General features: G+C 53.7%; 2 protein-coding genes and 1 long non-coding RNA gene across 11 annotated transcripts, besides 6 other annotated features; 1 reads left to right on the forward strand and 2 right to left on the reverse strand.

Annotated features, from left to right (window-relative positions):
* Positions 132-361: an enhancer, noted in NCBI's record as "active region_10102". NCBI's record gives its function as "activates an Ori minimal core promoter by ATAC-STARR-seq in GM12878 lymphoblastoid cells {active_cell/tissue: GM12878}" and the evidence as "EXISTENCE:reporter gene assay evidence [ECO:0000049][PMID:35858748]".
* On the reverse strand, positions 243-2,844 carry HDDC3 (HD domain containing 3). Of its 3 annotated transcripts, none has more exons than NR_104447.2 (4): positions 2,661-2,824; positions 2,330-2,385; positions 1,979-2,219; positions 243-1,680 (listed from the first exon to the last, which is right to left on the reverse strand). NR_104447.2 is itself a non-coding variant. In NM_001286451.2 (4 exons), the coding sequence occupies exons 1-4, from the start codon at positions 2,813-2,815 to the stop codon at positions 1,550-1,552; spliced, it is 540 nt and encodes a 179-aa protein (NP_001273380.1). In that variant the 5' UTR covers positions 2,816-2,824; the 3' UTR covers positions 243-1,549. The 3 variants fall into 3 exon arrangements, 2 of the variants coding, with proteins under 2 accessions (NP_001273380.1, NP_940929.1); NM_001286451.2 differs by having other exon boundaries at positions 2,704-2,824; NM_198527.4 differs by having other exon boundaries at positions 1,196-1,831; positions 2,704-2,844.
* Positions 455-24,368, forward strand: UNC45A (unc-45 myosin chaperone A). Of its 7 annotated transcripts, none has more exons than XM_047432844.1 (23): positions 455-530; positions 4,252-4,418; positions 4,614-4,824; positions 5,219-5,650; positions 5,819-5,980; positions 6,221-6,257; positions 6,560-6,735; positions 10,006-10,098; positions 10,581-10,748; positions 12,712-12,880; positions 13,187-13,357; positions 15,167-15,338; positions 16,889-17,189; positions 18,071-18,165; positions 18,417-18,558; positions 18,929-19,069; positions 19,591-19,718; positions 19,929-19,995; positions 20,429-20,542; positions 20,775-20,890; positions 23,204-23,321; positions 23,430-23,585; positions 23,734-24,368. In XM_047432844.1, exons 4-23 carry the CDS (start codon positions 5,600-5,602, stop codon positions 23,989-23,991), a joined length of 2,835 nt encoding a protein of 944 aa, XP_047288800.1. In that variant the 5' UTR covers positions 455-530; positions 4,252-4,418; positions 4,614-4,824; positions 5,219-5,599; the 3' UTR covers positions 23,992-24,368. The 7 variants fall into 7 exon arrangements, with proteins under 7 accessions (XP_047288800.1, NP_001034764.1, NP_001310548.1 ...); NM_001039675.2 differs by having other exon boundaries at positions 5,219-5,605; NM_001323619.1 differs by lacking the exons at positions 455-530; positions 4,252-4,418; positions 4,614-4,824 and adding an exon at positions 4,895-4,905 and having other exon boundaries at positions 5,562-5,650.
* Positions 1,992-2,221: an enhancer, noted in NCBI's record as "active region_10103". NCBI's record gives its function as "activates an Ori minimal core promoter by ATAC-STARR-seq in GM12878 lymphoblastoid cells {active_cell/tissue: GM12878}" and the evidence as "EXISTENCE:reporter gene assay evidence [ECO:0000049][PMID:35858748]".
* Positions 2,972-3,021: an enhancer, noted in NCBI's record as "active region_10104". NCBI's record gives its function as "activates an Ori minimal core promoter by ATAC-STARR-seq in GM12878 lymphoblastoid cells {active_cell/tissue: GM12878}" and the evidence as "EXISTENCE:reporter gene assay evidence [ECO:0000049][PMID:35858748]".
* Positions 4,646-4,745: an enhancer, noted in NCBI's record as "active region_10105". NCBI's record gives its function as "activates an Ori minimal core promoter by ATAC-STARR-seq in GM12878 lymphoblastoid cells {active_cell/tissue: GM12878}" and the evidence as "EXISTENCE:reporter gene assay evidence [ECO:0000049][PMID:35858748]".
* Positions 5,376-5,775: a silencer, noted in NCBI's record as "silent region_6833". NCBI's record gives its function as "represses an Ori minimal core promoter by ATAC-STARR-seq in GM12878 lymphoblastoid cells {active_cell/tissue: GM12878}" and the evidence as "EXISTENCE:reporter gene assay evidence [ECO:0000049][PMID:35858748]".
* On the reverse strand, positions 22,513-24,768 carry RCCD1-AS1 (RCCD1 and UNC45A antisense RNA 1). Its single transcript, NR_170325.1, has 2 exons — positions 24,610-24,768; positions 22,513-23,480 (listed from the first exon to the last, which is right to left on the reverse strand). It is a non-coding gene; the product is annotated as an RCCD1 and UNC45A antisense RNA 1 (long non-coding RNA).
* Positions 23,516-24,016: an enhancer, noted in NCBI's record as "H3K4me1 hESC enhancer chr15:91496471-91496971 (GRCh37/hg19 assembly coordinates)". NCBI's record gives its function as "activates a minimal SCP1, AML or CMV promoter by ChIP-STARR-seq in primed H9 embryonic stem cells {active_cell/tissue: H9 hESC(primed)}" and the evidence as "EXISTENCE:reporter gene assay evidence [ECO:0000049][PMID:30033119]".

A 24,782-nucleotide genomic window follows, 5' to 3' on the forward strand; every position in this document is an offset into this window, starting at 1 on the left:
TTACTCCCGCAAAACTATTTAAAAAAATTAAGTTCAAAGTTCTCCAAAATGTACCATACCCTGGGGATTACTCTGAACTTTGTTCATTTGTTTTCTTTTAATTCGGCTTTTTTGGTTGCCTTTCACCTACTTTTTCGCAGAGCCCTCCGCTGGGGCCTTCACTTGGGCAAACAACTATCGTAGTCGAACAGCTTTGACCTAACAATTTCCTCGTACCCAAGATGATCGCTTTTCCAGACAACTTAATAAACTTTGGCTTTAATGGATGACTGGATGCAGAATAAAATACATAAAAATAAACCTCAGCTGCTCAGCAACGACTGAAAAACCACCACCGGGCAATCCCTCCCCATGGCCACCGAGCAAAGTTCCACCGCCTCCCCTACGCCGACCGCCGGGCTCCCGGGGTCGGACAGCCCCGGGCCACTTCCGGGCCTTCCCGGAAGTCCCTGTCACTTAACAACCGAAGTAACCCGCAATGCGGAAGGGCGAGGGGATTGCGAGTCACCGAGTTTCCCGCGCGGCTTGAGGTACTGGGGAACCGGAATCCCCCACCGGCCCAATCATGTTGCTGCTGGGGTCTCTCCGGTGCCCAGCAGTGGTTGTCAGTAAGCGGGCGGCACTCCCTTCCGATACGTCTTTTCTTTTTTCATTTTTGAGACGGAGTCTCGCTGTGTCACCCAAGCTGGAGTGCAGTGGCGCGATCTCGGCTCAGTACAAACTCCGCCTCCCGGGTTCAAGCGAGTCTCCTGCCTCAGCCTCCTGAGTAGCTGGGATTACAGGCGCGAGCCACTGCGCCCGGCTAATTTTTTTTTGTATTTTTAGTAGAGACGGGGCCTCGCCATGCTGGCCAGGCTGGTCTTGAACTCCTGACCTCAAGTGATCCGCCCGCCTCGGTCTCCCAGAGTGCTGGGATTACAGGCGAGAGACACCGCGCCTGGCCCCCTTCCAACTTTCTTAACGGGAAAGGCTGCTACCATTTCTTGAGCACCTATGTGTCAGGCTCCATCAGGCACGTCACAGTCTAACCTGATAATTACACAACCCATGTCACTGACAAGGAAGCCAGGTTCGGAGGGGTTGAGGCCCGCAACCTGAGGGAGGTGACTCCGGGACACACAATTAGTCCTGCTTTGCTGAAGGAAAGATATGCAGCCCACCAGTCGGAGGCTGGAGAAGGAGCAGCAGCAGCTTAAACCTTAACCCAGAGTTATTTTTATTTTCCAGAACGTGTTAGGAACTAGTACTTAAATAATCTCAAGTCCCTGAGGGGCCAGAGATCCCACCATGCAAAATAGCAAACAGACCCAAGACTTGGGGAGAGGCGGTGAGTGCATCAGAAATGGATGGGTACATCTGATTCCCACCACGCGGGGCTCAGCTTAGTTAGCAGGAGACCTTCAGACTGAGAAAAAATGCAAGTCTTTTTTTGGCCTCTAATATCTGGGAAGGATGGAGGGAGCTCAGGAGACACAGAAAAGATGGCGTATGAATCCTGTCCGGCCTGAACGAGGCTGGAGTTGTGCCTCTGGATAGCTTCAAGCACTGATCAGATTGTCAGCCCCCGCTGCTTGAACAGATGCTTTAGAGCCTCTTCCAGTTGCCGGTTTGTTCCCTGAAGCCCCTTCACCACCTGCGCTGCCCACTCGAAGTATTCCTGGACTCGATGTTCTGACCATCCTGCATAAGAGTCGACAGAAACTTGCTAGCGTGATGTCAAGGAAAGCACTGCCTTTTCCCCACTTCCTGGCAAGCTTGGTTCAAGGCCATGAGTTCCTGATGGAATGAGCTGTCCTGAAAACTTCCCCTTGGCCCAGCTATTGTATTTTTACTGTATGAAAGAAGATCAAAGAGTGGTCCAGTAGGATTAATTTGGGAATTAAGAATGCCCAGGGTTTTTCAGGGGAACTGACCAACATGTGTCTTCAGAAGGCGGCATCCCCCTCCCTTTTCCCTTACAGCCCATACGAAAGCGTACCCTCTGGGGTGCAGCGATTCAGGTCCCTCAGATTGTACAGCTTGTCTGCCAGCTTCACCAGTTTGGCCCCGGGGCTACTGTGGGGCGCTTGCTCCACCTGCAGCCTCTTTCTCTCCAGCTTGGGCAGAGTCTTGTCATCTGTTACCTCCTCCACCAGGCGCCGCACTTGTGCCCCAAAGTGTAGCTCCACCTCATCCAGGGTGGTGTCTGTGTCCTCCACCGTGTCATGGAGCAGGGCCGCCTGGGGACAAGTTCCCACTCAGCCCTGAGATGTCAGCCAAGGGTTGCCCATTGCTGAATGGGGCCCCTAATCCCCATCCCAGGCTCCTGGCAGAGAAGGGGGAAAGTTACCTGTAACACCACAATGTCAGTGATTCCCGCCTCGTGGGTCAGGATCCGTGCCACACCTGACGGGGAGGGGCAAAGCAGGAAGTCAGGTCGGAGGTAGTCCCAAGGCGGTGTGTTGTGGGTTTTGGAGAGCCAGATGTGGCCCCTTGTGGACTCTGACTAGCTGGGTGACCTTGGTCAAGTACCTTACCCTCTGGGAGCCAACCGACAAAGGGAACGATCATGCCTACCGTTCCAATTGTTATGAGGCTTAAACGGTATATCGCACTAAGCTTGGGACAAAACAGGTGCTCAATGAGGTGCACGCCCCCCACGTTTCCTTCCCAGTCCCCACCACCCAGGTGCCGCAGCCGGCGCTCCGCGGCCGACGCGCCCACCGATGGGGTGGTTGATGTAGGGGGTCCCCTCGGGGTCCTTCCGCCGCTGCTGCCGGTGCTTGCGAGCCGCGAAGTCGGCAGCCTCCAGCAGCTGCGCCGCCTCAGAGCCCATCGCGCGGATGGGGCCGACGACTGCGGCCGCAGGGGCAGGGACGGAACGTTTACAGCGCCCCCTGGCGCCGGGGAGGCCCGGGGATCGTGGAGGCTAATTCAGCGGGCCGAGTTGGGCCTGCCCCAGATGAATTCCTCTGGAGCTGACCGGCCCGCGCAGAGAGCAAGTGATGTGGACAGCTGCCTTCAGCATCGCAGCCCCCAGCTCAGTGTGCTCTGTTGGGGGTGCAAGAAGAACATAAGCCTGGCTCTTTGGGAGCCCACAGTCTGTGGAAAAGAGGAAGACAGACAAGAAATAAGGCAGTGGCCTCACAGTGCTCTGAATCCAGGGTGGCCAAGGCTCAGGGGACTATGGGAGCGGGAAGAAAGAACAATCCCCACACCCTCAGAGTCAGAGACAGCTTCTCCCAGAAGCTCCCCCCAAGAACCATCTTCAACCTGTAAAAGCTCTGAAAATTCTCCAAGTGTTCTAAAAATAGTTCTCCCTGTAGGGATGGGCCAGGTTCTGTGGGCAGGGGAGTCTACCTTTGGACCCTCCAGGAGACCCTAGGGCCTGACCTGAAAAATCAGAGCCTTCCCTGGGAGCCCTGCCTAATTGCTTCAGACTTAGGCTCCCAGGTAGCTGTGACGTTTCTGCAGGAACTGCCTTTGTTTGTCCTCAGTGTTGCAGATGAAATTTGCCTTGTCTTCTTATGCTATGAGAGCTCCTATTTCAGTCTCTAGGCATCTTCTGTGGGCCCCTGGGGTGATGAGTGTTGTCACTGCTGTCCTGGGAGCATGATGTTGTCAGGCCTGGGTAGGCACTGGAATAACACTTAATTCTGCTGGCTGGTGGCCTTCTGGAGAAATTCCCTGCCTTAGGGGCAGCTGAGGGGTAAGAGAGACCTGGTGATCCCCATAGAACTTCTCTGTGAGAGGGGGTTCCCTATTAGCTAAGTATACTCTAATCAGACATGTAGCTTTTGTGTTCTGGCTGGTAGCTGGGGCAGATAAGGCTCAGGGGAAAGGCTAATGAAAGGAGTCACCCTTGGTTTTCAGCTAGTCTTGGTGGTTGCCACGTAGCAGAGGTTAGGGAGGGAAGCCCCACATGCTGGAACTGAGGTCTCTGGGACCTGAAATAGGAGGGTCAGAATTCCCAGAGCTTCCATGGCAGCCTGGAAGTTGGAGAATGGGTAGAAACATATTTGGCTGTAAATGCTTGTTTGTTCTTCATACTAATGGCTCAGCTGCTCTCTCATCCCTCATTCTGTCCTCTAGTCCTTTGAGCCTTCTCTCCTTCAGCAGTTTGGCAATGCAGGCCCCACGTTTTCCAACAGGAGACAGAAACCCAGTCCCTGTCATCTCTCTCTAAAAGCCTGTGATAGAGAAGCTTCAGGCTCGTATTAATGGTGCCCAAGGGCCTTGGGGCTTTGACTTTTATTTCCTTATTGTCTGCAGTCACGGCCTAGAAAGAGAGATGTTGGGGTTCCCAGGACCAGGACAGAGGTGGTAGTGAACTCTCATGGGCATCCAGAGAAGGTCAGGCCCCTTGCTGACAGGCCTATCTGTGGGGCTACTGCTGCTCTTCAGCTGGGTGACCCTTGTCCAGCCAACCTCTCTCTCAGGTACAGCACTTACCCCTGTGGCCCACCTGCCTCTGGTGCTATGGGCTATTCCTGGGAACTGGAACTGATGGGGATGGGTGGAAGGGCATCTTTTCTTCTGGTAGGGGCTGATCTCTTTTACTCTCCAGTAGGGGTGGAGTGAGCTGTGGAAAGGCCCCTCCTGCTTGTCTCTAGCACCCCCACCTCTCTCTTCAGCTCTGGTCCACCACCCTCACTTGTGCCAGACCACCCGGGATGTCCATGGCCGTCACTACCCTGGTTTCTTTTGCCCTCGTCTGTCTGATTCTCCAGAGGAAGCCTACTGCTGCCACCTGCAGGCTGCAGGGGGCTCCTGCTGCACCCGGGCTGAATTTGAGGCCCTGTACCAAGTCAATCTGTCCGCTCTTCCGCCCCCGCCCATCCTCAGGTGAGATCTCCAACCCCAGAGCCACTGGAACATCGACAGGGTGTTCCAGTATCTGGGGCTCTGTTCCTAAATTATGGGGTGGTAGGCTTGTAACTTACAGACTAGTGAAGGGACAGACCGCAACAGAAAATCATGTAGATCATGATTACAATTACAAAGGAGAAGTTCAGGGGGCTGTGCAAGCTGGTAATGGGGAGCCATCCTGAATCTGCCCATGGGTGGCTCTAGGATGAGCTCCTAAATTCGTATGCAAATGTGTGTATGTAAGACGACACTTATTTGGGGAGGGAGTCCTGAGCTTTCTCCGGACTCCCAGGGATTCTGTACCCCCCACAGAGCGCAGCAGCGAGAGCGCGGTCGGGGCCGGGATCCAGATACTTTTTCTCTCCCGCAGGGGCCCAGGCCCGCTCCTAGTGCTGGGCCTCTACAACCTACTGGTTGTGACCCTGATGACCGTAGACCTCGTGCACTTCTGCTGCGGTCGGGGCCGGAGTCTGGGCTGGAGCCACCGCAGGCCTCCCTCTGGGTCCTCCGCCGCGAGCTCCCTGCAGGTCTCTGCGGGGACAGCTTAGGTGCGCCCGGAGCTTGCCTGCACCTGCGATCCAGAGCCAAGCGCCCCGCCCCTGCCCGGGCGCGCTCCCTCCTTAGCCCTGCCCCTCTCTGACCCCACCTCCGACGCAAGAGTGGGGCGGGGCAGCTGCCGGTGGCGTCCCGAACCCAGACTCGCCCCGCCCCAGAGACTGCGCCTGCGCGGGCACGAGACAACCTCTCCGCGATGACTGTGAGTGGTCCAGGGACCCCCGAGCCCCGGCCGGCCACCCCCGGGGTGCGTACCCAACCCCCGCGCCATCACCCCTTCGCACCCGCCCTGACCATCCCTGGCCTCCTTCTCCCCATCCATGAGGCTCGCCCCGATCCCTCCTCTCCTCTCCCCTTAGCTCCCGGGCTCTGCCCCGAACCCCCTCCGACGTTTCCGCCCCCTTTCTCTCTACAGGCCAGCTCAGTGGAGCAGCTGCGGAAGGAGGGCAATGAGCTGTTCAAATGTGGAGACTACGGGGGCGCCCTGGCGGCCTACACTCAGGCCCTGGGTCTGGACGCGACGCCCCAGGACCAGGCCGTTCTGCACCGGAACCGGGCCGCCTGCCACCTCAAGCTGGTGAGGGAGCCTGGCGCTCTTCCCCTCGCCCGCCCGGGCCCCGGTTCGCCCATCTAAGCTGATGCTTGGGCCCCAGCTGGACATTCACGCTCCCAGGCCATCCCCGCTTGCCAGATGTTTTTTGCACCTCAGGGTGGTGGGGGATCGGGTGACCTTGGAGAGCGAGAGTACCCCTGCTGCCTGGTTAGTGCCCCGAGAGGGAGATGACCATTCCTTCAGGCTCCTGTCTTTCTCTTACAGGAAGATTACGACAAAGCAGAAACAGAGGCATCCAAAGGTAGGGGAATGGTGGGCCCTGGTGTGGAGCTGTAGGGCTTCTGTGGTGGGCAAGGACTCTGGGACCGCTGCACCGTCACATTCTCCTCCTTTGGCCCCAGAGACACATCTGCCTTCTTTCTTTCCCACTGCCTCGGGCCTTTCCTTTTCTGCAGCTACCCTCACCTTTTCTGAGGCTGAAGCACCGAGCCCCACATTCGTCCCCCCCACCTTCTTCTGGCCTTTCCTCGAGATCTTTCCCTACTGCTCTTGCCTGGAGACAGTGGCCTCATGGGTGCTGACAGCGCTCCTGTTTGTGCTCAGCCATTGAAAAGGATGGTGGGGATGTCAAAGCACTCTACCGGCGGAGCCAAGCCCTAGAGAAGCTGGGCCGCCTGGACCAGGCTGTCCTTGACCTGCAGAGATGTGTGAGCTTGGAGCCCAAGAACAAAGTTTTCCAGGAGGCCTTGCGGAACATCGGGGGCCAGATTCAGGAGAAGGTATGTGAGTGACCCAGAGAGGTGGAAGCATTGACTGGTGGTGAAGGGGTCTGGGCCAGGGGTGTAGACACAGTTCTCCAGACGAGATCCCGGTGGCAAGTGAACCTTGCCTGTGGCCAGGGAAAAGCAAATTAAGATGACAGCACATTACTGTTGATTTGGAGGTCTGTCTGGCAGATATTTAAAAGTTTGTACACTTTTCGAGAAGGAGAGAGGCAGACACATCAGTGGTGAGGCTGGGGGCCAAGGGCTCTCTGATGACTGCTGGAGGGGTATAAATTGGTACAGCTCTTTTCGAGAGTACTTTAGCATATCTATTCAATTTCAAATGAGCGTATCTTGTGATCCCATATGTTTACTTCTTGCTGTTTCTCTCAGAGAAACCTTGTCCACGTGCACAAGTAGACATGTGTATGTTTATTTCAGCCTTTTTTGTAGTAAGAAAAACTTGGAACTTGCCTGAATGCCCAGCCATAGAGGAATGGCTGAATAAATGGGTAATGTCCTTACTACAGACTCTTATATAGTTACTGAGAATAGGTAGATACACACATATTGAAATGGGAAGCTCTGGGACACTTGTTGAATGAACAAAGCAAAATAGGCAGGGCATGGTGGTTCATGCCTGTAATCCCAGTGCTTTTGGAGGCCAAGATGGGATGATCACTGGAGGCCAGGAGTTTGAGACCAGCCTGGGCAACATAGTGAGACCCTGTTGCTACCAAAACCTAAAAAGTTAGCTGGGTGTGGTGGCACACCCTTGTAGTCCCAGCTACCTGTGAGGCTGAGGCAGGAGAGTCCTTTGAGCCCTGGATTTTGCAGTTACAGTGAGCTATGATCGTGCCACTGCACTCCAGCCTGGCTGACAGAGTGAGGCCCTGTCTCTTTCAAAAAAGAAAAGAAGAAGAAAAATATACAATAACACATATAGTATAATATCATTTATGTTAATGATCCCCTACATAGCAAAACAATGCTATATTTTTTCTGTGGGTACACTTGGGTATGTAAATACAAAGGAAAATAATTGTTTTTTTTTTTTTTGAGACGGAGTCTTGCTCTGTCGCCCACACTGGAGTGCAGTGGTGCGAACTTGGCTCACTGCAACCTCTGCCTCCCAGGTTCAAGTGAGTCTCCTGCCTCAGTCCCCCAGGTAGCTGGGACTACAGGGGCCTGCCACCACGCCCGGCTAATTTTTTGTATTTTTAGTAGAGATGCGGTTTCACTGTGTTGGCCAGGATGGTCTGGAGCTCCTGACCTTGTGATCTGCCTGCCTCGGCCTCCCAAAGTGCTGGGATTACATGTGTGAGCCACTGCACCCAGCCGAAAATATTTTATTTTTTAAATTTATTTTTATTTTTATTTATTTATGTATTTTGAGACGGGGTCTCACTCTGTCACCCATGCTGGAGTACAACCTCTTCCTCCCGGGCTCAAGCAGTCCTCCCACTTCAGCCTCCCAAGTAGCTGGGACAAATGCATGTCACCACGCTCGCCTAATTTTTATATTTTTTGTAGAGACAGGGTTTTACTGTGTTGCCCAGGTGGCTGGTCTTGAACTCCTAGGCTCAAGGGATCTACTCACCTCAGCCTCCCAACTGGCTGGGATAACAGGCGTGAGCCATGGCACTGGGCCAAATATGCATTTTTGTTTCTTTATTTTTTCAGGAAAATATTTTAAAAGATATACATCAAAATGATAACACGGTGACCCCTGGGGAAAGGAATGGGATTGAGAGGGCTTTCCAAAGGAGACTGCATCACCTGTTCATATTTTTTTAATAAAGAGAAATTGTGTAAAATACGTATATTTTTAAATTAGGAGAAAAGAATCTAAAGACCATTATGAGCTACAACCAAGCTCAAATTCGCCAGATAATTTGACGTTAAAATGCTGACACAGTGGAAGCAGATAACATGATGGCAGACACCTCACTGAAATGTTGAAGCCTGGGAAAGCAAATAGGTTTCCTCTCTCAATGCCAACTCTGATTGGCAGTGGCTGCCCAGAGTCCTATGTTGAGAAGAATTAGGAAGCAGATTGCCTGAGCCAAGCAGGGGAACGTGCCATGACTGGTTAGTCATGGCTGCCATGGATGCAAGAGAGGAAGGCGGGTGGTCCACATGCTAGGCTTGTGCCACCATCTATGCCCAGGACTCTGGGGGGTGGGGGAGTAGGCCTAGGATGATCTTCCCCATTCAGATTATTTATTTATTTATTTATTTGTTTGTTTTGAGACAGTCTTATCCTGTCACCCAGGCTGGAGTGCAGTGGATCTCTGCTGACTGCAACCTCCACCTCCCAGATTCAAGCGATTCTCCTGCTTCAGCCTCCCGAGTAGCTGGGATTACAGGCACCCGCCACCACACCTGGCTAATTTTTATATTTTTAGTAGAGACGGGGTTTCACCATGTTGGCCAGGCTGGTCTCAAACTCCTGACCTCAGGTGATCTGCCCACCTCGGCCTCCCAAAGTGTTGGGATTACAGGCGTGAGCCACCGTGCCTGGCTTCAGATTTTATTTATTTATTTTTTTGAGACAGAGTTTCACAGTTATTGCCCAGGTTAGAGTGCAGTGGCGTGATCTCGGCTCACTGCAACTTCCGCATCTTGGGTTCAAGTGATTCTCCTGCCTCAGCCTCCCGAGTAGCTGGGATTACCGGCATCTGCCACCACGCCCGGCTAATTTTTTGTATTTTTAGTAGAGATGGGGTTTCACCTTGTTGGCCAGGCTAGTCTTGAACTCCTGACCTCAGGTGATCCACCTGCCTTGGCCTCCTAAAGTTTTGGGATTACAGGCGGGAGCCACTGCGCCCAGCTCAGATTATTTTTAAAACAGTGAAAAGAGAATTCTGGAGCTAAAGGAAGTGTTAGCAACTACCTCACGATCTGCCAGCTCCCTGGCAGGAGGTATAAATGCTGAGTTCAGTGCCATGGGAAGCCCATTCACGCTGCCACAATGTAGATGGCACCACTGGGAGTGGGTTGCCTCGTAGCTGACAGGATACCTCCCCTCCGAAAAGGCACTCCAGCATCGGCGCAGCCCCTGCTGCCCAAGCAGGAAATAGCTCAGAAAGAAAAACAGGTGCGGGAAATTTAGGAGGCACTGCCAGGCAAGTCTCTTCCTGCCCAGGGTAGCTAGGTGCTAGCCCTGAGCCTGGACATCTTTACTGTGCCTCCCAGAGTGAGGAGCTGGAGACAAATGAATAGGGAGTGTGATGTCTCTGGCCAAGAGCCGTGATTTGTTCCATGCTTTGTTGGTTTGTCTAGGTGCGATACATGTCCTCGACGGATGCCAAAGTGGAACAGATGTTTCAGATACTGTTGGACCCAGAAGAGAAGGGCACTGAGAAAAAGCAAAAGGTATAGGCCCTGGGCTGAGTCAGTGAGTGAGCTCCCACTAGAGCCACCCATCCATAGGCCCCCGAAGCCACTGCTGCCTTGCTCTGCCGCTCCTCCAATCGTGCAGCTGGGCTCACGGGGCCTGGATGGGAGCTCTGAGGGTCTGGGGCTTTAGCGTGAACCAAGGAAAGAGAACCAGTGTTCACAGAGTACCTTGTTGGCCACGCCCTGTGCCAGGAACTGGGTGTACAGAGGTAACTGAGGCACTGTCCCAGCCCCTCAGGCTCTGCTGGGGACTCATTTGCTCTAACCATCAATCCCGAGAGAAGGCTCTTCCCTCTATTTACAGAGGAAGCTAAACTTCAAAGAGGTTATTTTTTGGCCGTGGTCACTCAACTGTGAAGTGGAAGCAGAGAGGTCCAGGGCTCGGGGCCCCTGCTCACCAGTGCTGCATCCTATGCCGTGTGCAGTGTCAACATTATAATGTGCTTCCTTTGACGCAGGCTTCTCAGAACCTGGTGGTGCTGGCCAGGGAGGATGCTGGAGCGGAGAAGATCTTCCGGAGTAATGGGGTTCAGCTCTTGCAACGTTTACTGGACATGGGAGAGACTGACCTCATGCTGGCGGCTCTGCGTACGCTGGTTGGCATTTGCTCTGAGCATCAGTCACGGGTAGGTGGAGTGGAGAGGCTGGTTACAGCTTCAGTCCCTTTGTCTGTCTGTCCATCCATTCCTCCATCCACCCATCTGTCCATCCGCCCATCTGCCCGTCCATCCATCCATCCACTCTTCCACCCTCTACCCCTTACCTTATTCTAAAAAGAACTTAGGTAGGTTATGGTGCCTCACACCTGTAATCCCAGCACTTTGGGGGGCTGAGGCAGGTGGATCACTTGAGGTCAGGAGTTCAAGACCAGCCTGGCCAACAAGGCGAAACCCTGTCTCTACTAAAAATAAAAAAATTAGCCGGGCATGGTAGTGCACGCCTGTAATCCCAGCTACTCAGGAGGCTGAGGCACGAGACTTGCTTGAACCCAGGAGGTGGAGGTTGTGGTGAGCTGAGATCGCGCCACTGCACTCCAGCCTGGGTGACAGAGCGAGACTATCTCAGAAACAAAACAAAACAAAACAACAAAAAAAGAAAAGGCAGAGTACAAGGAGATACATGTAACAAGAGAGAAAAAATAAAAATGGCGTGAAAAAGACCAACATAAATTAGGATGAAGTGGGGTAGAAAGAGCAAAAACAGCCTTGGGGTACCCCAAGCACTTGCTTTGTAGGGGGCTTACAAGTGTGAGCCCCAGCTTTCCTGCAGCCAACTCACAAAAACACATTGGTCACTGACTCCTTCAATGTCCATATGGCACAAGCAAGCTCATGGCCCAGAATGTGCCTGGCCACCACAGCATCTACCATCGAGACAGTGACCGGACACGTAGGGCTTGATCCCGACATGATTCTCAGCATGGATGGTGGTGGCCCAGCATGGACAGTGCAGCAATAACAGTCCTGCTCCTGGGCCAGTGTGGTGAAGTCCATGCCCCCAGCTCTTACCTGAGCTGGCTTGCTCCAGGGGAGAGGGGACCAAAGACTAGGCCCTTGGTTGCTTTTAGAGGAGCCCACAATTCCTAGATAGGGGTGAAACTGTGAAATAGTCAATGAAATCTCTTTAGGCTAAGCTTGGGCTGCATTCTGGGTCTCCCAAGGCTAAGACTGTTAAAAGCATGTGCATTCTGTTCCCTCCTGCCTTCCGGTCCATTCCAGTTCACAGTCTTGGCCAAGGACACTTAGCTGCTAAGTGGAAGCAGTCAGGATTTGGGCTCAGTGGACCAAGCAGGCCTTCTAGGGTTCTCCAGCTTAGAAACAGGGTGGAGAGGGCCCGGCGCGGTGGCTCATGCCTGTAATCCCAGCACTTTGGAAGGCCGAGGCGGGCAGATCACGAGGTCAGGAGATTGAGACAATCCTGGCTAACACGGTGAAACCCCGTCTCTACTAAAAATACAAAAAATTAGCCGGGTGCGGTGGCGGGCGCCTGTAATCCCAGTTACTCAGGAGGCTGAGGCAGGGAAATGGCGTGAACCTGGGAGGTGGAGCTTGCAGTGAGCCCAGATCGCGCTACTGCACTCCAGCCTGGGCGACAGAGCAAGACTCCGTCTCAAAAAAAAAAAAAAAAAAGAAAAAAGAAAGAAACTGGGTGGAGAGGTCTCACGGGCCCATTCCGTGTACGTGACGTCCACATCCCCAGGGTGTGGAAAGAACCTCAGGGTTTAGACTGGGGAAGAACTAGACCATTAAGCCTGGTGGTCAGGTAGCTTCGTCTAGGTATAGGTCTTTTTCTTGGGGAGGCATGAGCTAAGGCAGCTGCTCCCAGGGCTGCAGTATACTATGTCTTCTCTGGCACCAAGGAGAGGTAGTAGGGCATTGCCGTGTAATGTCTCCTTTAGGAAATCTTTCTAACAAAATTATCCTGCCATTACCCTGGGTCATGCCATCCATTCTGTGTTGTTTTCACCTGGAGCTGGGCCTTCCACCCAATTCTCTCCTTCTGGCCGTATCCTCTAACTCACAGTTAGGGATCTCTGTGGCTGCCCTTCAACAACTGGAAGCTTCCTTCTGTTTACCTCTCCCACCCCAGACAGTGGCAACCCTGAGCATACTGGGAACTCGGCGAGTAGTCTCCATCCTGGGCGTGGAAAGCCAGGCTGTGTCCCTGGCTGCCTGCCACCTGCTGCAGGTTATGTTTGATGCCCTCAAGGAAGGTGTCAAAAAAGGCTTCCGAGGCAAAGAAGGTGCCATCATTGTGGGTGAGTGGAAGCAGGTCTGGGGTCTTTTGGACGTTACTGTCATGGAAGGGATGGGGCTGAGCCAGCCAGGCCAGTTTTTTGGGGACCAGACTTGCAGCTGCAGGTTGTTTGGAATACGGTTTGGTGACATTATTTTACTCTAGATTCTCAGCAACCAAGGTGCCTCAGGACAAAGCTGGAGCTCAGTCTGGAGCCTGGGATGCGGATCCCCCCTTCCCTGTGTCTCCCTGGTTTGTTGGAGAAGTTGAAGGGTCAAACTGGGCTGGGCTGCTGTGGAGCCCACTGATGTCTTCTTGTTGTTGCCAGATCCTGCCCGGGAGCTGAAGGTCCTCATCAGTAACCTCTTAGATCTGCTGACAGAGGTGGGGGTCTCTGGCCAAGGCCGAGACAATGCCCTGACCCTCCTGATTAAAGCGGTGCCCCGGAAGTCTCTCAAGGACCCCAACAACAGCCTCACCCTCTGGGTCATCGACCAAGGTAGGTGATATAGTTCACAAAAACTTGCTTCAGCAGCTGAAGTTTGTTTATTCTTAGGAGTAATAAGAAAAGTTGTGAGTGGGGCCAGGCATGGTGGATGACACACTTTGAGAGGCAGGGGGTCACTTGAAGCCGGGAGTTTGAGATCAGCCTGGGCAACATAGCGAGACCCTGTCTCTATGAAAAATTAAAAAAAATTAGCTGGGCATGGTGGTGTGCATCGGCAGTCCTAGCTACTCCAGAGGCTGAGGTGGGAGAATTACTTAACCCTGGGAAGTCAAGTCTTCAGTGAGCTGTGATTGTACCACTGCACTACAGACTGGGCAACAGAGGGAGACTGTCTCAAAAAAAAAAAAAAAAAAAAGAAAGAAAAGTTGTGATTATCTCCAGCCACGTGTCTGCACTGAAGTGCGTCCTGTGGCCCAGGAGGATGCTGGAGCTGAGAAGATCTTCCAGAGCAATGGGATTCAGCTCTTACAACACCTTCTAGACACAAGAGCTACCCTTAGGGGGCTCAAAGTTAGACTCTTCTATCATATGCGTGTGCACATACATGCACATTGAGCGGGCCTGCAAGCAGGTTAGCAGAGAGGCTGGATTAGCTTTCTGTATTTTTTTTTTTTTGAGACAGAGTCTCACTCTGTCGCCCAGGCTGGAGTGCAGTGGCGCGATCTCAGCTCACTGCAGCCTCCGTTTCCCGGGTTCAAGCAAATCTCCTGCTTTAGCCTCCCGAGTAGCTGGGATTATAGGCACGCATCAGTATGCCCGGCTAATTCTTGTAGTTGTAGTAGAGATAGAATCTCACCATGTTGGCCAGGCTGGTCTCGAACTCCTGACCTCAAACAATGCACCCACCTTGGTCTCCCAAAGTGTTGGGATTACCGTCATGAGCCATTGTGCCCTGTTTTTTTTTTTTTTTTTTTTTTTTTGTTTGAGTGAGCATGTATTACTTCTATACTCAGAGGAAAAAATAACGGTAGATATATCAATTCATCTCTCTTTTCCCCTAAAAGATAAATAAGAGCTGGGCGTGGTGCCTCACGCCTATAATCCCAGCACTTTGGGAGGCCGAGGTGGGCAGACCACAAGATCAGGAGTTTGAGACCAGCCTGGCCGACATGGTGAAACCCCGTCTCTACTAAAAGATACAAAAAATTAGCCAGGCATGCTGGCATGCACCTGTAATCCCAGCTATTCTGGAGGCTGAGGCAGGAGAATCACTTGAACTCAGGAGGCGGAGGCTGCAGTGAGCCGAGATCGCGCCATTGCTCTCCAGCCTGGGCAACAGGGCGACTCTGTCTTAAAAAAAAAAAAGATAAATAAGAAAAGCTTTGCAAAGGCCTTGCATGAGCAGGGCCTTTCACAATGGTCCTATGAGGTGTGGATATCGTGTTCACAGTGGTCCCACGAGGTGTGGGTATCGTGTTCACAGTGGTCCCACGAGGTGTGTCTATTGTGTTCACAGTGGTCCTACGAGGTGTGGGTATCGTGTTCACAATGGTCCTATGAGGTGTGGATATTCTTTTCCCCTTAGTTTTACAGATGAGGAACCTCAAAAGCTCCAGAGCGTTTGGCCCCAGGGGCAGGGCTGGCATGCAGGCCTCACTTCTGAGGTCCTTCCCGATCCTACAGCCGCCTCCCTTAGGTAGCAGATCAGCTAAGCAGATTCTCCGGGCTGCCCTGGACACAGTTGTCAGAACTCTGTAGCCTTCTTGTCTTGCTTTTCTCCACATCTCCTAGGAAGCCTGTTTCTTTTACTTGTAGGGGTTGGAACTAGTGTTCTACTGTCTAAGCGGGGTGTCTTTACAGGTCTGAAAAAGATTTTGGAAGTGGGGGGCTCTCTACAGGACCCTCCTGGGGAGCTCGCAGTGACCGCAAACAGCCGCATGAGCGCCTCTATTCTCCTCAGCAAGCTCTTTGATGACCTCAAGTGTGATGCGGAGAGGGAGAATTTCCACAGACTTTGTGAAAACTACATCAAGTAAGGAAGTCTGTTTCACCTCCCGTTGCCAGGGATTCTAGCGAAAAAGTTCTGACTCCTTGAGGAGGGGCAGAAATGAAAGGTTTCCAGCAGAAACAGTAATCTTGGGGAGGACTAGTTGGAGGCTGAACAAAGGGAAAGTGGCCCCAAGGCCCACTTCCTGCTCCAAAGTGGCCTCCGCAGGGAGGTTCTTTCTCAAGTCAATGTTCCAATAATGCAACAAACGCCATCAAGCACGTACTGGGTTTACCAAACACTTCCTACGCTTCTGTTCCCACACAGATGAAACATGACAGTCCTTTTTTTTTTTTTCTTGAGACAGAGTTTCACTCTTGTTGCTCAGGCTGGAGTGCAATGGCATGATCTCAGGTCACCACAACCTTCGCCTCTAGGGTTCAAGCGATTCTCCTGCTTCAGCCTCCTGAGTAGCTGGGATCACAGGCATGCACCACCACACCCAGCTAATTTTGTATTTTTAGTAGAGACGGGGTTTCTCCATATTGGTCAGGCTGGTCTCGAACTCCCGACCTCAGGTGATCCGCCTGCCTTGGCTTCCCAAAGTGCTGGGATTTTTTTTTTTTTTTTGAGATGGAGTTTCGCTCTTGTTGCCCAGGCTGGAGTACAATGGTATGATCTTGGCTCATTGCAACCTCCACCCTCCCAGGTTCAAGCAATTCTCCTGCCTCAGCTTCCCAAGTAGCTGGGATAATAGGCACCCACCACCACGCCTGGCTAATTTTTGTATTTTTAGTAGAGATGGGGTTTCACCATGTTGGCCAGGCTGGTCTCGAACTCCTGACCTCACACCTGAGGTGATCTGCCCGCCTTGGCCTCCTAAAGTGCTGGGATTACAGGCATGAGGACCGCGTCCAGGCGACAGTCCTTGTTCTTAAAGGAGATTATAGGCCAGGTGTGGTGGCTTACACCTGTAATCCCAGCACTTTGGGAGGTGGAGGCAGGTGGGTGATCACCTTAGGTCAGGAGTTCGAGACCAGCCTGGCCAACATGGTGAAACCCCATCTCTACTAAAAATACAGAAAATTAGCCAGGTGTGGTGGTGGGTGCCTGTAATCCCAGCTACTTGGGAGGCTGAGGCAGGAGAATCGCTTGAATCCAGGAGGTGGAGGTTGCAGTGAGCCGAGATCACGCCATTGCACTCCAGCCTTGGGGACAGAGTGAGACTCTGTCTCAAAAAAAAAAAAAAAAAAGAAAGAAAAAAAATTAAAGGAGCTTACAGCTGTTGGGGAGAAAACTGATGATAAATTATGAAATAAGCCGAATCATTTCAGAGCTTAAGTCCAGGAAGGGACATCACTGGTGGTATGGGAGTAACCTGTATTAGATACTATGTCAGGGAAGGCTTGAGTGAAAGTCGATAAAGAAAATCAGCCATTATTGTCCAGGTGGAAACGTCCTAGTCCTCCCATTGGCAGCTTTCCTGCTGTTTCTGCCCAAGTAGTGCAGGTGCCTGGCCAGTGGAGGGGAAGGGAGGGAAGAAGAGTCCCTTTATGTTGGCCTTGGTGTGACGGCTGTCACCCTGTGCCCCTCAGGAGCTGGTTTGAGGGCCAAGGGCTGGCCGGGAAGCTACGGGCCATCCAGACGGTGTCCTGCCTCCTGCAGGGCCCATGTGACGCTGGCAACCGGGCCTTGGAGCTGAGCGGTGTCATGGAGAGTGTGATTGCTCTGTGTGCCTCTGAGCAGGAGGAGGAGCAGCTGGTGGCCGTGGAGGCTCTGATCCATGCAGCCGGCAAGGCTAAGCGGGCCTCATTCATCACTGCCAATGGTGTCTCGCTGCTGAAGGACCTATATAAGTGCAGCGAGAAGGACAGCATCCGCATCCGGGCGCTAGTGGTGAGACGGTGGGCCTGGGGTGGGTGGGCAGGCAGCCAGGCAGGGGTCCTGGTCCAGCCGGTGTTGCAGGGTGTGGCCCCAGCACACTCCAGATGAAAATAAGGAATACTGTAATGCCAAAAAAATTAGCTAGGCTTGGTGGTGCATGCCTATAGGTCCAGCTACTTGGGAGGCTGAGGCAGGAGGATCACTTGAGCTCAGGAGGTTGAGGCTGTGGTGAGTCACGCATGTCACTGCACTCCTGCCTGGGCAACACAGCAAGACCCTCTCTAAAATAAATGGATGAATGAACGAGATTCTGGGCTTTCTTGTGGTGAGAGACATCGGCATGGCTCCTCCCTCCATGGGGCTTAAGACTGGGCCTGCAGGGGTCATGCAGTGTTCCTGGGAGCTGGTGGTTTGGGGGTTTGGGGACTACCTGGCCCTCCATGAGCCTGTTGTGGCTGTGCACCCTGTGGAAGCTGGTCTTCCTCCCTGGGGCACTCAGTCCTGGATTTCTCCATCCCATAAGGATTTGGCTGTGGCTGAAGCACCTGTCCTCTCCCCACATGCCTCTCAACTCCACCTGCAGAGGGCTTCTTTGTGCGACATGGAAGGAAACAGAGCCATTCTCAGTGTGGCCTGGGAAGGGGTGGGGCCCACGACTGTCCAGCGGCCAGCGCATCAGTGTCTGCAGATGCTGTGTCATGCGGCCACCCCAGTAGCTGATTTTCTTGCCACATGCTCTAGGTGGTGGTCTGGAGGGAGAGGGTGCTGATTTGTCTGTGTAGCTTCCAGGGGGCCATGGCAGAGTGCCAGGGAGGGAGTCCAAGCCAGGTGTGGAGGAGCTCAGCTCCTGCCTCCTTCCCCAGAGGCCAACTGGTCTTGCCCTCTTCCTCCAGGGACTCTGTAAGCTCGGTTCGGCTGGAGGGACTGACTTCAGCATGAAGCAGTTTGCTGAAGGCTCCACTCTCAAACTGGCTAAGCAGTGTCGAAAGTGAGTCATCTGGCCTTGCTGTGGTTCCCCACCTGTGGGGTAGATCTCAAGACACAGGGGTCTGGGTGGGGGTTGGGGCCTCCTCCGTCCTGCTCTCTGGCTCAGGCAGGGGCTGCAGTCTGGATCCTGGTACGTGAACTGCTTCTGTACATTGAGGGGATGCCCAAACCCTTGGTTTTTCCCCCTTGGCCTTGGTGTACCCCTCCGTACCCCCAATCCTGAGGGTCGTCCACTATCCTGCGTGTCCCCAGGTGGCTGTGCAATGACCAGATCGACGCAGGCACTCGGCGCTGGGCAGTGGAGGGCCTGGCTTACCTGACCTTTGATGCCGACGTGAAGGAAGAGTTTGTGGAGGATGCGGCTGCTCTGAAAGCTCTGTTCCAGCTCAGCAGGGTAGCTCTGTGGTTCCTGCCGTCAGCCTGGGGACACTGTCTAGGATTAGACCTTACCAGGCTTTCTCGGCAGGGCTTGGCCAATGGGGTCTTTTGACCCCAGGGAAGAGGGCTGGTGGCTGAGTGGCTGCTCTGTGTAGTGTGGGCATGTTGGCCAGCACCAGTGGTGTTAGCAAGGACGTTCTTCTTGGAGGAGCTGGGGAGGTCAAGTTTGTAAGCTCCCAAAGTCTGGGGCCTGGGAGTTTCCCGAATTCATCCTGTACCCAAGGGTCCCAGCTGAGGGTGGAATTGGGGGCCTGGGCCTGGGCAGCATTTATCTGAGTACTGCTCTGCCCCGGGATGCCCATGTGAATTCCTCTGTGTCCTGGCAGTTGGAGGAGAGGTCAGTGCTCTTTGCGGTGGCCTCAGCGCTGGTGAACTGCACCAACAGCTATGACTACGAGGAGCCCGACCCCAAGATGGTGGAGCTGGCCAAGTATGCCAAGCAGCATGTGCCCGAGCAGCACCCCAAGGTGAGGGGCCGCCAGAGGGGCTAGAGGGTTCCCCACCATGGGGACAGCTAACCCAGGGCATCCACAGCAGAACAACCTCCCTTTTTTTTTTTTTTTTTTTTTGAGATGGAGTCTCACTGTCTCCCAGGCTGGAGTGCAGTGATGCGATCTCGGCTCACTGCAAGCTCCGCCTCCCGGGTTCATGCCATTCTCCTGCCTCAGCCTCCCGAGTAGCTGGGACTACAGGTGCCCGCCACCATGCCTGGCTAATTTTTTGTATTTTTAGTGGAGACAGTGTTTCACCGTGTTAGCCAGGATGATCTCGATCTCCTGACCTCGTGATCCGCCTGCCTCAGCCTCCCAAAGTGCTGGGATTACAGGTGTGAGCCACCGTGCCCAGCCAACAGCCTCCCTTTTAAGCCAGTTTGTTTCCTTTTGTCTGGCTGTTTTATTTCCCAGTTCCTCAATTACTGCTGTGAGAAGGGTCCCCCTTTCTCTGTGAGTCAGCCTAGGCCCCTCTCCTAAGCTGCCTCCTCCCCCAGGACAAGCCAAGCTTCGTGCGGGCTCGGGTGAAGAAGCTGCTGGCAGCGGGTGTGGTGTCGGCCATGGTGTGCATGGTGAAGACGGAGAGCCCTGTGCTGACCAGTTCCTGCAGAGAGCTGCTCTCCAGGTGAGCCAGCCTTGGTAGGAGCCAACCTTTCCCAACTCCTGAGCCTCAGGGCTGCAGATGTGGCTCCAGAGGGTGCAGGTTCCAGTGCTGTGGGCCTCTTAGAGCGACGGGGGCTGCCTGCGTGGCTGCCGTCTTTGCTGAGCCTAGGAGTGCAGCGTCTGCCTGCCAGAGTCCCAGAGCTGCCTGCCCACCACCGCCTTCTCCCCACAGGGTCTTCTTGGCTTTAGTGGAAGAGGTAGAGGACCGAGGCACTGTGGTTGCCCAGGGAGGCGGCAGGGTAAGCTGGTTTACACACCCCTTCCTGATGGCTGAGCCATCAGCCTATAAAACATGACTCAGCAGCTGCCACGCCAGAGCTGGGTGTTAGATATGGAACAGAAAAACATTAATGGCCAGAGGAACACCGTCCCGCTGAGAGAGTGACGCGGAAGCAGGCAAGCTCCTTGGCCCCTCCACACTGGTGCCTGTGAAGGTCCTAGGCTCTACTGTTCCTTTGTCTCATTTACCCCCATGGCCCTGGTGCTCAGCACAATCCATGTCCAGCCCTTATTAGGTGTTTCAGGAAGTGTTTGGATGCAGAGGGTCTGCACAGGGAGTCAAGCCTGGGGAGAGGGAGGAAGGTGAGGGTGGCACGGTCAGGGCTGGGGAGCCCGATGGTCGGGGTCTTACTCCCAGGGATGTCCTGAGCAGTGACGGGCTTGTTCCTACAGGCGCTGATCCCGCTGGCCCTGGAAGGCACGGACGTGGGGCAGACAAAGGCAGCCCAGGCCCTTGCCAAGCTCACCATCACCTCCAACCCGGAGATGACCTTCCCTGGCGAGCGGGTACGTGTCTTCCTGCCCCGGCCTTTCCACTCCCTCTGTCCCTGATGGCCTGTGGGCTGGGCTGTAGCTCCCCTTTGGGACCAGCAGGAAGTTTCAGCTTTGTCAAGGCCTGGGGCAGGGAGGACAGCCTGAGACAGCAGTACTCTCTTGGGGGTGGGCTTCTCCCTGCAGGGTTGGTGGGGCTTGTGGGGGCTGCGGCAAGTACCCCTGACAGGTGGGGTGCACATTGCAGATCTATGAGGTGGTCCGGCCCCTCGTCTCCCTGTTGCACCTCAACTGCTCAGGCCTGCAGAACTTCGAGGCGCTCATGGCCCTAACAAACCTGGCTGGGATCAGCGAGAGGCTCCGGTAAGGTCCCTTGGGATTGCGGGGCCTGGACCAGGCATCGGGATTCGGAATATCCCCCACAGCAGTTTACACATTGGGAAACACTCCTTGGTCATGGGCTTCTGTGAGCCTCACAGTGACTGCTCCGCATCATTAGAGAGGAGGCGACAGGCCAAGAGGCAGCACGGCACGGCAGACTCTAGAGTCAGACTGCCTCGCTTCCCTGATTGCAAATGGGCAACCTCAAGCAAGTTACTTAACTGCTCTGTCTCAGTTTCTCCCTCTGTGAAATGGGATGATTATAGTACCTACCTCATGGCATAGTGATGAGGAGAATAAAATGAGAAAATACACCTAAAAGTACTTACTACATGGGTACCTGGCCCCTAGCATTGTGCCATATCAGTATATTTTAGTTTTTTTTTTTCTTTGAGACGGAGTCTTGCTCTGTCACCCAGCCTAGAGGGCAGTGGCATGATCTCAGCTCACCGCAACCTCTGCCTCCCAGGTTCAAGCGATTCTCCTGCCTCAGCCTCCTGAGTAGCTGGGATTATAGGCACGTGCTACCGCGCCTGGCTAATTTTTGTATTTTTGTAGAGATGGCGCTTTACCATGTTGGTCAGGCTGGTCTAGATCTCCTGACCTCGTGATCCGCCCACCTCAGCCTCCCAAAGTGCTGGGATTACAGGTGTGAGCCACTGCAGCTGGCCAGCATGTTTTAGTTTTATTACTAACTGTGACTTTGAACATATTACTCATTACTTAGCCCGTTTCCTATTCTGCAAAACAGTAGTGATGATGATCACACTTGCACCTTTAGTATAGGGCCATGGTGAGAATTAAGTAAGATGATCCAGGTGCCTGGTCAGGGTAAATACTCAAATGAGGCCGGGCGTGGTGGCTCACACCTGTAATCCTGGCAATTTGGGAGGATGAGGCAGGAGGATCACTGGAGCCCAGAAGTTCAGGCCAGCCTGAGCAGTGTAGCAATACCTCGTCCCTATTTAAAAAAGAAATTAAAGAGAATATCAGGAAGAATAGCTAATGCATGCTGGGCTTAATACCTGGGTGATGGGATGATCTGTGCGGTAAACCACAACGGCACATGGTTACCTGTGTAACAAACCTGCACGTCCTGCACATGTACCCCTGAACTTAACAGTTGGAAAAAAAATTTGCAAGGTGTGGTGGCGTGCACCTGTAGTCCCAGCTACTCGAGAGGCTGAGGCAGGAGGATCACTTGAGCCTGGGGGGGTCAAGGCTACAGCAGTGAGCTGTGATCATGCCACTTTACTCCAGCCTAGGTGACAGAGTGAGATCCTGCCTCAAAAAAACACAGAAACAAAAACCCTCAAATGTTAGGTGTTAGCCTCACCATCACGACCACCCTGGTCTTCTACATCCTAATTTTGAGCATTTCCCACAATCCTATGCTATTTCCTAGGCCTGGTTAGAAGGCTAAGAAGCACTGTAGTTCATACCTGGTGCAAGAGGGTCCTTGGACATTGCCAAGGGAAATCCTCAGCCCAGGACTTGATTGCATGAGGGTGTGGGTGCAGGGGTGGAGCAGATGTAGAAACTCTGATGATGCTGCCGGTGTTAGTCTGTTCTTGCATTGCTGTAAAGGAATACCTGAGACTGGGTAATTTATAAAGAAAAGAGATTTAATTGCTTCCTGGCTCTACAGGCTGTGTAAGCATGGCATTGGCATTTGCTCAGCTTCTGGGGAGGCCTCAGAGAGCTTTTACTCATAGTAGAAGGCAAAGCAGGAGCAGGCACATCACATGGTGAAAGTAGGAGCAAGAGACAGTCGGGGGAGGTGCCACACACTTTTTTTTTTTTTGAAATGGAGTCTCCCTCTGTTGCCCAGGCTGGAGTGCAGTGGCGCAATCTTGGCTCACTGCAACCTTCACCTCCTGGGTTCAATCGCTTCTCCTGCCTCAGCCTCCCTGAGTAGCTGGGACTACAGGCGCGCACCAGCATACCCAGCTAATTTTTTTTTGTCTTTTTAGTAGAGACAAGGTTTCACCATGTTGGCCAGGCTGGTCTCGAACTCTTGACCTCAAGTCATCTGCCTGCCTCGGCCTTCCAGAGTGCTGGGATTACAGGCGTGAGCCTCCACGCCCGGCCGAGATGCCACGCACTTTTAAATAACCAGATCTCACGAGAACTTACTATCACGAGGATAGCACCAAGCCATGAGGGACCCATCCCATGACCCAGTCACCTCCCACCAGGCCCTACCTCCAACATTGGGGATTATAGTTCAACATGAGGGTTAGAAGGGAAAACATCCAAACCGTATCCCTGCTGCTTCCTCCTGTGGCCCTGCAGGCAGAAGATCCTGAAGGAGAAGGCTGTGCCCATGATAGAAGGCTACATGTTTGAGGAGCATGAGATGATCCGCCGGGCAGCCACGGAGTGCATGTGTAACTTGGCCATGAGCAAGGAGGTGAGGGTTGGTCTGGGTGCTCATGACAGGCGGGGATGCAGAGGTACCTGTGCCCTGGCTGGGCTTTACACCCAACTGACTTGGTCCACTCCTCACATCTGGCCACAGGTGCAGGACCTCTTCGAAGCCCAGGGCAATGACCGACTGAAGCTGCTGGTGCTGTACAGTGGAGAGGATGATGAGCTGCTACAGCGGGCAGCTGCCGGGGGCTTGGCCATGCTTACCTCCATGCGGCCCACGCTCTGCAGCCGCATTCCCCAAGTGGTCAGTGCCTCTTCTCAGTGGGGGAGGAGGGACGGACCAGGAACTCCCAGCAGCAGCTGAAGGGGGCAGTCCTAGGGTGTGTGGGTGTGTCCCTTGCCAAGGTTGAGCCTGTTGCCCAGGGGTCATATCTACCCTGTTTTTCTCACAGACCACACACTGGCTGGAGATCCTGCAGGCCCTGCTTCTGAGCTCCAACCAGGAGCTGCAGCACCGGGGTGCTGTGGTGGTGCTGAACATGGTGGAGGCCTCGAGGGAGATTGCCAGCACCCTGATGGAGAGTGAGATGATGGAGATCTTGTCAGTGCTAGCTAAGGGTGACCACAGCCCTGTCACAAGGGCTGCTGCAGCCTGCCTGGACAAAGCAGTGGAATATGGGCTTATCCAACCCAACCAAGATGGAGAGTGAGGGGGTTGTCCCTGGGCCCAAGGCTCATGCACACGCTACCTATTGTGGCACGGAGAGTAAGGACGGAAGCAGCTTTGGCTGGTGGTGGCTGGCATGCCCAATACTCTTGCCCATCCTCGCTTGCTGCCCTAGGATGTCCTCTGTTCTGAGTCAGCGGCCACGTTCAGTCACACAGCCCTGCTTGGCCAGCACTGCCTGCAGCCTCACTCAGAGGGGCCCTTTTTCTGTACTACTGTAGTCAGCTGGGAATGGGGAAGGTGCATCCCAACACAGCCTGTGGATCCTGGGGCATCTGGAAGGGCGCACACATCAGCAGCCTCACCAGCTGTGAGCCTGCTATCAGGCCTGCCCCTCCAATAAAAGTGTGTAGAACTCCACTGTGTGCCCTGTCCTTGGGCAGGGAGGGCTGCTGTGAGTGGGAGTCTCTGAGTGGGTGAGTGTGGGTGAGTATGGGTGTGAGCTGGGCGTGGGTGAGTGTGCAACGGAGCTTCACAGTGGCAGACCCACCTCCATGGAAGGAATCCAATGGATTCCCCAACCAGGGCCCACTGAGTTGCTTCTTAATCCTACTGGAGGGACAAAGGGTAAGCCTAGGAAGCTAATCAATAAGAAACTCACCAGGTGCGGTGCCTCAAGCTTGTAATCCCAGCGCTTTGGGAGGCTGAGGCAGGTGGATCACTTGAAGTCAGGGGTTCGAGACCAGCCTGGGCAACAAGCAAAACTCTTTCTCTATAAAAATACCAAAAAAAAAAAAAAAAAAAAAAAAAGAGCAGAGTGTGGCGGCATGCACC

The sequence above is a fragment of the Homo sapiens genome, chromosome 15, assembly GCF_000001405.40.
Source record: "Homo sapiens chromosome 15, GRCh38.p14 Primary Assembly".
NCBI lineage: Eukaryota > Metazoa > Chordata > Mammalia > Primates > Hominidae > Homo > Homo sapiens.

What these genes read in the sequence shown, in the direction of transcription:
- HDDC3 (NM_001286451.2), bottom strand. Translation starts at nt 2,815, where the DNA reads ATGGGCTCTGAGGCGGCGCAGCTGCTGGAGGCTGCCGACTTCGCGGCT. An exon ending in CTGACATTGTGGTGTTACAG is followed by an intron (nt 2,220 to 2,329) that starts GTAACTTTCCCC and finishes ACTTGTCCCCAG; the next exon opens with GCGGCCCTGCTCCATGACAC. An exon ending in GAATCGCTGCACCCCAGAGG is followed by an intron (nt 1,681 to 1,978) that starts GTACGCTTTCGT and finishes ACTCTTATGCAG; the next exon opens with GATGGTCAGAACATCGAGTC.
- UNC45A (XM_047432844.1), top strand. Translation starts at nt 5,600, where the DNA reads ATGACTGTGAGTGGTCCAGGGACCCCCGAGCCCCGGCCGGCCACCCCC. An exon ending in TTGCCCAGGGAGGCGGCAGG is followed by an intron (nt 19,996 to 20,428) that starts GTAAGCTGGTTT and finishes TTGTTCCTACAG; the next exon opens with GCGCTGATCCCGCTGGCCCT. An exon ending in TGACCTTCCCTGGCGAGCGG is followed by an intron (nt 20,543 to 20,774) that starts GTACGTGTCTTC and finishes TGCACATTGCAG; the next exon opens with ATCTATGAGGTGGTCCGGCC.